The following is an 11,115-nucleotide window of genomic DNA, read 5'->3' as shown; positions in this document are numbered from 1 at the left end:
TTTGATTTTTGTTGTTGAGTTGTAGGAGTTCTTTATATATTCTGGATATTAACCTCTTAACAGTCATAAAACTTGCAAATATTTTCTCCCATTTTGCCAGTTGCCTTTTTACTCAGTTGATTGTGTGCTTTGATGCACAAAAGTTTTTAAGTTTCATACAGTGCTATTTGCCTAGTTTTCTTTTGTTGTCTGTGCTTTGTAGGGGACATATCCAAGAAATCATTGCCAAGTCCAGTGTTATGTTACAAAGCTTTTTCTCTACATTATCTTATAAGAGTTTTATAGTTTGGGATTTTACATTTAGGTCTGTAGTCCATTTTCCATTAACTTTTGTATATAATGTAAAAGAGGAGTCCAACTTCATTATTTTGCACATAGATACCCAGTTTTCCCAACACTATTTGTTGAAGAAACTGTCCTTTTCCCACTGAGTAGTCTAGGCACCCTTGTTGAAGATCATCAACTATATAACCAGGGTTTATTTCTGGGTTCTCTATTCTATTCCATTGATCTATTTGCCAATGCCACACTTGGTTTTTGTTTGCTTGTTTGTTTGTTTGTTAGAGACAAGGTCTCTGTCACCCAGGCTGTCACTAGTGGCATGATTATGGCTCAGTACAGCCTCGAATTACTGGGCTCCAGTGATCCTCCTGCCTCAGCCTCCCAAAATGCTAGGATTACAGATGTGAGCCGCTGAGTCCAGCCCAAAATAATTCAAAATTTAAAGCTAAATCTAAAAAGTTAGAAAGTATCTCTTAATGGGGGAACATGCTATTGACATTTTTTCTGAAGTAATTCTTTATTATTCCTAATTATTCTTTACATCACAAAATATTTACCATCCCTGGCCTTAGGAACTAAATGCTGGTGACAGCAGCCCCCAACACAAGCAGTGTTTCTTCCCATAGTGAATAGTACAAAGCTTGGTTTAGAACTGCTGCTAGACAGTTCAGCAGCATGCTACAGGTCAAGGTTAATCTCCACATTCAGAAGGCTAACAGTGTTTCTGCTCTCTTCACTTTGTTCAACTGTTCCTCCTTCAATGGCCTTTGTTCTCAGGTTGACCCCAGAGTAACAATGGCTGCAGAAATTCTAGACTTCACATTTCTACCATATTGTCCACAAGAAAATAGCATCTCTGCCCCAAGGTTTCCATCCAAATCCCAAGATTTGTTGTGATTGGACTCGTTTGGTCACATTCCATGACTAAAACAAGTATCCAGAGGGATGCAATGCTTTTATTGGTCTAGTCTTGATCATAGGCCCTCTGGTAGAGTGATGGATTGAGTTAGTGTCCCCAGATAAAGGTGAAATCCCCAAATAAAAATTAAAGACTATTGTGAAGGGGACAAGTTGGTAAATAGACATTGAAAATATAACTAACAAATTTATATTGTAAAAGTGCTACTCAAAATGCCAGTTCATGAATTATTTTTTACCAGTCAACAATAAGATTAAAACAAAAAACTTGCACCAGAGTAAGTCAACTATGTGAATGAATAGACTACTTAATTTAGTCAATATTTATTTTATAATAAAACTACCTCCAATGAAATTGGCCTCATATGCCTCCTGATATGATCCACTGAGAAAACAATTCATCACTTGTGTGGTATTCCTGAAAAAATGCATACATAACATGAATCTAATCATGACAAAACACCAGACAAATTTAAGTTAAAAGGCATTCTACAGAATAACCAGTGTGTATTCTCCAAAAATGTCAATGTTATGAAAGACAAAAAGGAAAAGAAACTGAGAAACTACTTTAAATTAAAGGAGGCTTGAGCAAAGCAAGATGGCAGAATAGAAGCTTACACTCTTCACCACCCCACCACCCACATGCTGGAACACCAAATTTTAACAACTATCTGTACACAGAAAAGCACCATTAAAATAACCACAAATCAGGTGAGCAATCATAGTACCTGGTTTTAACTCCATATCATGGAGCAACCACAGTATCTGGTTTTAACTTCATATCATGCCCTCATTGAGGTGGGCAGGAGAGAGAGTCTTGAATCATCAATGCCACCCCTCCCCCATCCCCTGATAGCAGCTCTATGGTATGGAGAGAGAATCTGTGTACATTGAGGAGGGAAAGTGCGGCAGCTGGGGGAATTTACATTGAACTTACTGCTGCCCTGTCACAGCAGAGAATAAAGCTGTGCTGGGTCAGCCAGTGCCCCCACATGAAAAGAGAAGTGGGACCAGCCCTAGCCAGAGGGAAACTGCCCATCCCAGCAGTCATAACTTGAATTTCTTCGCAAACTTTGCCATTATGCCTCCCCCATGGGCTAAAGTGCTCTGGAGTTCTAGATAAACTTGAAGCGCATTCTAGGACACAATGTCTGCAATTCTTAGGGAACTCCTACTGTTAGGCTGGGCTTAGAGCCAGTGAATGAGAGTAGCACATGACCAAGGGAGGTATCAGGTGGCATGGCTAAAGGAGGGCTTATGCTACCCCTCCCCCAACCCCAGGCAGTACAGCTCATAGCAATAAAAGTGACTCCTTCCTTCTGCTTAAAGAGAGGAGAGTGAAGAATAAAGACGATTTTGTCTTACATCTTGGACACCAGCTAGGACAGGGGACCAGGCAGAGTTTTGAGGCCTCCATTCCAGCACTGAGCAACCAGAAAATATTTCTAGACATACCCTGGGCCAAACAGGAACTTGCTGCTTTCAGAGGAAGGAACCAGTTGTGGCAGGATTTGCCACCTGCTGACTAAATAGCCCTTAAGCCCTGAATAACCACCTGCGATACCCAGGGAGTGCACTGTGGGCCATGGGCTCTGAGATGTACAAAATCAGGGGAGACCCATATATTCTCAGCTGTGGTGGCTATGGTGAAAGACTTCTTTTTGAGAAAAGCAGAGGGAAAAGTAGAGGGGACTTTGTCTTGCACCCTAAGTACCAGGTCAGCCACAGTAAAGTAGAGCAACAATCTGGGTCTTGGGGTTGCTAAGTCCAGGCCTTGGCTCTTAGACAGCATTTCTGGACCTGCCCTGGGCCAGAGGGGAGCCCACTTCCCTGAAGGGTGAGTCCAAGGCCTCACAGCATTCATCACAAGCTGACAGAAGAGCCCTTGAGCTTTAAGCAAATGTCAGCACTGGCCTGGCAAAATCTCCCATGGACCAGTGGTGGTGGTAGTCACAGAGTGACAGAGGCTCCTCTGCCTGTGGAAAGGGGAGTACAAATAAGAAGAATTTTATATTGTGGTTTGAGTGCCAGCTTGGCCGCAGTAGAATAGAACATTACATAAATTGCTAAGGTTTTTTACTCCAATCCCAGACCACATCTCTGGACATGCCAAGGGCTTGGTGGAAGTTGCCACACCGAAGTGAAGGGTTTCGGGTAAGGCCCGGTGCTGTGATGGTTTCATGTTTGACCCAGCACAGTCCCAGTGGTGGTGACCATAAAGGTGCTTGCATCACTACATTCCCAGTTCAGGTGGTTCAGCACAGAGAGCAAGAATCTGTATATTTTGGGATTAAAAAAAAGGAAAAAGAACAAGTGTTTCTGCCTGGTAATCCAGAGAATCCTTCCAGATCTTATCCAAGGCCACCAAGGCAGAAATTCTATGAGTCTGTAAAAATCACAGCATTACTTACTGGGCTTGGGGCCCAGGTGCCTTCAAATCCCTGGAAAGCCTTCCCAAAAAGAACAGGCACAAACAAGCCCAAACTGTGAAGACTACAATAAATACATAACTCCTCAATGCCCAGACACCAAAGAGCATCTAAAGTATCAACACCATCCAGGAAAACATGACCTCACCACATTAACTACATAAGGCACCAGGGGCCAATCCTGGAGAAACAGAGATATATGACCTTTCAGACAGATAAAACATAGCTGTTTTCACTTGAGTCCAGAAGTTCAAGACCAACTTGGATAACATGGCAAAACCCTATCTCTAAATATAAAAAGATATAAAAATACTCGAAGAAATTCAAGATAACACAGAGAAGGAATTCAGAATTCTATCAAATAAATTTAATAAAGAGAATGAAATAATTAAAAAGAGTCAAGCAGTAATGCTAGAGTTGAAAAATGCAATTGACATGCTGAAGAATGTATCAGAATCTCTAAATAGCAGAACTGATCAAACATAAGAAAGAATTAGTAGTCTGGAAGACAGGCTTTTTGCAAATACATAGTCAGGAGACAAAAGAATAAGGAAAAAAGAAGCATTCCTACAAAATCTAGAAAATAGCCTCAAAAGGACAAATCTAAGAGTTTTTGGACATAAAGAGGAAGTAGAGAAAAAGATAGGTGGAAAGTTTATTCAAAGTAATAATAACTGAGAGCATCTCAAACCTAGAGAAAGACATCAACATTCAAGTACGAGAAGGTTTTGGAACACTAAGCATATTTAACCCAAAAAGACTACCTCAAGGTATTTAATAATCAAACTCCCAAAGCGGGGTAGGGGGATAAAGAAAGGATTCTAAAAGCAGTAAGACAAAAGAGACAAATAATGTACAGTGGAGTTCCAATATGTCTGGCAACAAACTTTTCAGTGGAAACCTTACAGGCCAAGAGAGAGTGGCATGACATACTTAAAGTGCTGAAAGAGAAGAACTTTTACCCTAGAATAGTATATCAAGTGAAAATATCCTTTAAGCATGGAAGAGAAATAAAAACCTTCCCAAACCAAAAGAAAAAAAAAGCTGAAGGATTTCATCAACACTAGACCGTTCTACAAGAAAAGCTGAAGGGAGTTCTTCAATCTGAAAGAAAGGGATGTTAATCAGCAAGAAGAAATTGTCTGAAGGCACAAAACTTACTGGTAACAGTACGCACACAGTAAAACATGAATAGTACAACACCGTAAATGTGGTGTAAAAACTTCTCTTGACTTAAAAGACTAAAAGATAAATGAATCAAAAAATAATAACTACAACAACTTTTCAAGACTTAGTGCAATAAGACATAAGGAAAATAATGAAAAAAGTAGGGGGACAAAGTTTAACTGTAGAGTTTTTATTAGTTTTCTTTTTGCATGACTGTTTCTTGTTTATGCTATCAGTGTTAAGTTGTCATAAGTTTAAAATAATGGGTTATAAGATAGTATTTGCAAGCCTCATGGTAATTTCAAGCCAAAAAACATACAACAGATCCACAAAAAATTAAAAGCAAGAAATTAATGTATACTACCAGATAAAATAACTTTCACTGAAAGGAAGACAGAAAGGAAGGAAAGAAGGAAGAGAAGACCACAAAAAATAAATAAATAAATAAAGTAGCAGGAGTAAGTCCTCACTTGTCAATTAAAATTGAATGTAAATGGTCTAAACTCTCCAAACAAAAGACATAGAGGGGCTGAATGGATGAATAAACAAGACCCAATGATCTGTTTCCTAAAAGAAATACACTTCATGTATAAAAATACATGTAGGCTGAAAATAAAGAAATGGAAAAAGATATTCCATACAAATGGAAGGCAAAAATGAACAGATTCACTATACTTATATTAGCCAAAACAGATTTCAAGACAAAAACTGTAAGAAGAGACAAAGAAAGCCATTATATAATGATAAAGGTATCAATTCAGCAAGAGTACATAACAATTGTAAATATATATGCACCCTAATCTGGGCTACCCAGATATATAAAACAAATATTATTAGAGCTAAAGAGAGAGACAGACCCCAATATGATAATAACTGGAAACTTCAACTGCCCACTTTCTGCATTAGGCAGATCCCCCAGATAGAAAATCAACAAAGAAGCATCAGCCTTAATCTGCACTCTAGAACAAATGGACTTAATAGATAGTTACAGAACATTTCTTCCAATGGCTACAGAACACACATTTTTTTTCCTCAGCACATGAATCATTCCCAAGGATAGACCATATGATAGGCCACAAAACAAGCCTTAAAACATTCAAAAAATTTGAAATAATATCAAGCATGTTCTGTAACTACAATAGAATAAAGCTACAAATCAACAACAAGAAGAATTTTGGAAACTATACAAACACATGGAAATTAAATAATATGTTCCAGAATGACCAGTTGATTAATAAAAAAATTAAGAAGAAAACTGAAAAACTTCTTGAAATCAATGATAATGGAAATATCACATATCAAAACCTATGAGATACAGTGAAAATAATACTGACAGAAATTTGTAGTTATAATCTCCAACAGTAAAAAAATGAAGAAAAACTTCAACTAAATAAAGATCCATGTTAAAGAATGAGAAAACAAGAGCAAACCAAACCCAAAATTAGTAGAAGAAATACTAAAGATTAGAGCAGGAATAAGTAAATTTAAAATGAAGAAAAAATACAAAACATCAATAAAACAAACATTGGTTTTTTGAAAACATAAACAAAACTGACAAATCTTTAACCAGAATAACAAAGAAGAAATAACCAGAGTAACTAAGAAAGAAGACCCAAATAAATAAAGTCAGAGATGAGAAAGGAAACATTATGACTGATACTGCAAAAATTTAAAGGATCATTAGTGGCTACTATGAGCAACTATATGCAAATAAATTTAAAAATCTAGAAGAAATTGATAAGTTCTTAGACACATACAACCTACCAAGATTGAACCATGAAGAAATCCAAAACCTAGGCAGACAAGTAATGAAATTAAAGCCATAATAAAAAGTCTCCCCGTAAAGAAGAGCCTGGGACCCTACAGCTTCACTGCTGAAGTCTACCAAACATTTAAAGAAGAACTAACACCAATCCTACTTAAACTGTTTTAAAAAACGGAGGAGGAAGGAATACTTCCAAATTCATTCTATGGGGCCATATTACCCTGGTAGCAAAACCAGAAGAAAGCACATAAAAAGAAGAAAGAAGAAAGAAAAAAAGAAAGGAGGGAAGGAAGGAAGGAAGGAAGGAAAGAAGGAAACTACAGGCTAATATCTCTGATGAATATTGATGCAAATATTTTCAACAAAATACTAGCAAACTAGCAAACCAAATTCAATGCATTAGAAATATCATTTATCATGACCAAGTGGGACTTATTTCAGGAATGCAAGGATGGTTCAGCATACCCAAATAAATCGATGTGATACATTATATCAACAGAATTAAGGACAAAAAGCATATGATCATTTCAATTGATGCTAAAAAAAAAGTGTTTGATAAAGTTCAGCATCCCTTCATAATAAAAATCCTCAAAAAAAACTGGGTATAGAAACAACATACCTCAACTTAATAAAAGCCATATATGACAGACCCACAGCTAGTATTGTACTGAATGGGGAAAAACTGAAAGCTCTTCCTCCTAGATCTGGAACATGACAAGGATGCCCACTTCAACCACTGTTATTCTATGAAGTACTGGAAATCTTAGCTAGAGCAATCAGACAAGAGAAAGAAATAAAGGGTATCCAAATTGGAAAATAAGAAGCCAAATTATCCTTGTTTGCAGTTGATAAGATCGGATTCAAAAGCAACAACAAAAAATAGTAACATTTCTATATGCCAACATGAACAATATGAAAAAAATCTGAAAAGTAATCCCATTTACAGTAGCCACAAATAAAATTAAGTACCTAGAAATCAGCTTAACTGAAGAAGTGAAAGATCTCTACAATGAAACCTATAAAACACTGATCAAAGAACTTGGAGAGGATACCAAAAAATGGAAAGATATTCCATGTTCCCGGATGGGAAGAATTAATATTGCTAAAATGTCCATACTACCCAAAGCAATCTACAGATTAAATGCAATCCCTATCAAAATACCAACAACATTCTTCAGATAAAAAGAAAAACCAATCCTAAAATTTATACAGAGTCACAAAAGACCCAGAATAGCCAAAGCTATCCTAAGGATAAAGAACAAAACTGGAGGAATCACATTACCTGACCTTGAATTACACCACAAAGGTATAGTAACTAAAACAGTGTGGTACAGGCATAAAAATGGACACGCAGACCAATGGAATAGACAGAGAACCAAGAAACAAATCCACACACCTACAGTAAACTCATTTTTAATAAAGGTGCTAAGAACCTACATTAGAAAAAAGACAGTGTCATCAACAAATGATGCTGGGAAAACTGGATATTCATATGCAGAAGAATTAAATGTGATCCCTATCTCTCGCCCTGTACAAAAACCAAATCAAAATTGATTAAAAACTTAAATCTGAGACTTCAAACTATGAAACTACCACATGAAAACTTTGGGGAAACTCTCCAGGACATTGATCTGGGTAAAAATTTTCTGGGAAATATCCCATAAGTATAGGAACCAAAGGTGAAATTGACAAATGGGATGACATCCAGTTAAAAAGCTTCTGTGCCACAAAGGAAACAATCACCAAATTAAGAGACAACCCAGAGAATGGGAGAAAATATTTGCAAACTACACATTTTACAAGGGTTATATAATAACCAGCTCCTTATATATTATAAGGAGCTCAAACAACTCTATAGGAAAAACTCTAAAAATCCTATTTTAAAATGGGCAAAAAATCTGAATAGACATTTCTCAAAAGAAGACATACAACTGGCAAACAGGCATATGAAAAAGTCCTTGTCATTGATCATCAGAGAAATGCAAATCAAAACTACAAAGAGATATAACTTCATTCCAGTTAAAATGGCTTTTATTCAAAAATCAGGCAATAACAAATGGTGGCGAGGACGTGGAGAAAAGGGAATCCTCATACGCTGTTGGTGGGAATGTAAATTAGTACAGCCACTACAGAGAACAGTTTGAAGATTCCTTGAAAAACTAAAAATAGAACAATCATGTGATTCAACAATCCCACTGCTAGGTGTACACAACCGAAAGGAAGGAAATCAATATAGAGAAGAGTGATCTGTACTCCCATGTTTATTGCCGCATTGTTCATAATAGTCAACATTTGGAAGCAATCTAAGTGTCCATGAACAGATGAATGAATAAAGAAAATGTACTTATATACAATGGAGTACTATTCTGCTATAAAAAAGAGAATGATACTCTGTCATTTGCAACAACATGGATGGAACTGGAGGTCATTATGTTAAGTGAAATAAGCCAGGTGGACAGAAAGACAAACACTGCATGTACTCACTTATTTGTGGGATATGCAAATCAAAACAATTGAACTCATGAAGATACAGAATAGAAGGCTGGTTACCAGAGGCTGGGAAGGGTAGGGAGGGGGGTGATGATGGGGATGGTTAATGGGTACAAAAAAAATAGAAAGAATGAATAAGATGTAGTATTTGACAGCACAAGAGAATTATTATTGACTGTAGTCAATTATATATTAAATTATTATTTTTATATATTAAATACATTAAATTATTACTGACTATAGTCAATAATAATCATTTCCTCTCAAATGATTCAGATGTGTGTGTGTCCACACATGCACACACAAGTGCACATAGAGGCACACAGAGAGAGAAGGGAAAGCAAATGTGATAAAACAAGCTTCTTTAAAAGCATGTGAGAATTTGTTGTATTAGTCTTGTAATTCTTCCGTAAACCTGAAAACATTTATTTAAAATTAGAATAAAATATAATTTCAGAATCCATAAAAAGCAGCAATAATGGATAAGTTCCTATTAAAATAGTAGATCAATTTGTTTAAAATTCATGTTATTACTTATAATACAGTCAATAACTTAATTGCTCATTTTAAAATAAGTAGAAAAGTATAATAGGATAGTTCTTAATACAAAGGATAAATTCTTGAGGGGATGCATACACAATTTTTCATTATGTGATTATTACATATTGCATGCTTATACCAAAACATCTCATATACCCCAGAAACGTATACACCTACTATGTACCCACAAAAAAAATTTTTTTAGAGGAGGCTAAGGAGATATGACAACTAATGCAACCTGTGATCTAAGATTTTTTTTACTACAAAGGATGTTACTGACAAATGTAAAAATGTACAGGTGTGTAGATTAGAAGGTAGTGTTTGGTCAATGTTAGTTTCCTGATTTTGTTAACTGTCCTGTGGTTTTATAAGAGAAGGTATTTGTTTTAAAGTATTTGATATGGTTTGGATTTGTGGTCCCACCCAAATCTCAGGTCGAATTTGTAATCTCCAATGTTGGAGGAGGGGTCTGGGGGAGGTGATTGGATCACGGGAGCAGATTTACCCCTTGCTGTTCTCATGATAGCGAGTCAGTTATCACAATATCCGGTTGTTTAAAAGTGTGTAGCACCTCCCACTTCACTCTATTTCTCCTTCTCTGGCCACATATGATGTGCCTGCTTCCCCTTTGCCTTCCACCATGACTGTAAGTTTCCTGAGGTCTCCCAGCCATGCTTCCTGTACAACCTGCAGAACCATGAGTCAATTAAACCTTTCTTCTTTATAAATTACCCAGTCTCAGGTAGTTCATTATGGCAATGCCAGAATAGACTGAAACAATATTTAAGTATAAGTAAGCATCATTGTTAGAGCTTTCTCTCAAATGATTCAGATATGTGTGTCCACGCATGCACACACAAGTGCTCACAGAGACACACACAGAGAGAGAGAAGAGAAAGCAAATGTGGTAAAATGTTAATTTTGAAAAATCTTGTTTAAAAGCGTGTGAGAATTTGTTGTATTAGTCTTATAACTTTTCTGTAAACCTGAAAATCTTTATTTAAAATTAGAATAAAGTATAATTTCAGAATCCATAAAAAGCAGCAATAATGGATAAGTTCCTATTAAAATAGTCAATCGATTTGTTTAAAATGCATGTTATTACTTTAGCTATTCCCTCAAAGTCTTATTCTTATTTTTGGAACAAATAATTTGATATATGTTATAATTGTGCACATGTATGAAGAAAATCAACTATTTGGAATATACGTGCTCTTTTCTTAATAGGAAGCCAGAAAAACAGATATATAAGTGCAATCCTAGAATGTGGATACTGAAAACTTTGCACTCATTTCATGAAATCTGGGTCTGTAAATGCCTTTTATAATTTTCATTCAATAATACAACTTGAACAGATATATATTTGGGGCATCATAACATTTCTTCATAGAAGTCTTATGAACTGATTTCACTGCTTTCCGTTATTTAGGCCCATAGAGAAGAGGCAGCTTTGATTCTTGTTCTTTGTAGGTAACCTGATATTTCTATTCTGTACCTGTAGGATTTTTCTCTTTATCCTATCAT

The 11,115-nt window shown here is 36.2% G+C and overlaps 1 annotated feature.

The window, feature by feature from the left end:
- Positions 2,506-3,006: an enhancer, noted in NCBI's record as "H3K27ac hESC enhancer chr2:180898515-180899015 (GRCh37/hg19 assembly coordinates)". NCBI's record gives its function as "activates a minimal SCP1, AML or CMV promoter by ChIP-STARR-seq in naive H9 embryonic stem cells {active_cell/tissue: H9 hESC(naive)}" and the evidence as "EXISTENCE:reporter gene assay evidence [ECO:0000049][PMID:30033119]".

Source organism: Homo sapiens, chromosome 2 (assembly GCF_000001405.40).
Source record: "Homo sapiens chromosome 2, GRCh38.p14 Primary Assembly".
Taxonomy (NCBI): Eukaryota; Metazoa; Chordata; class Mammalia; order Primates; family Hominidae; genus Homo; species Homo sapiens.
The sequence above is the reverse complement of the archived record's forward strand: the minus strand, read 5'-3'. Positions and strand labels throughout refer to the sequence as shown.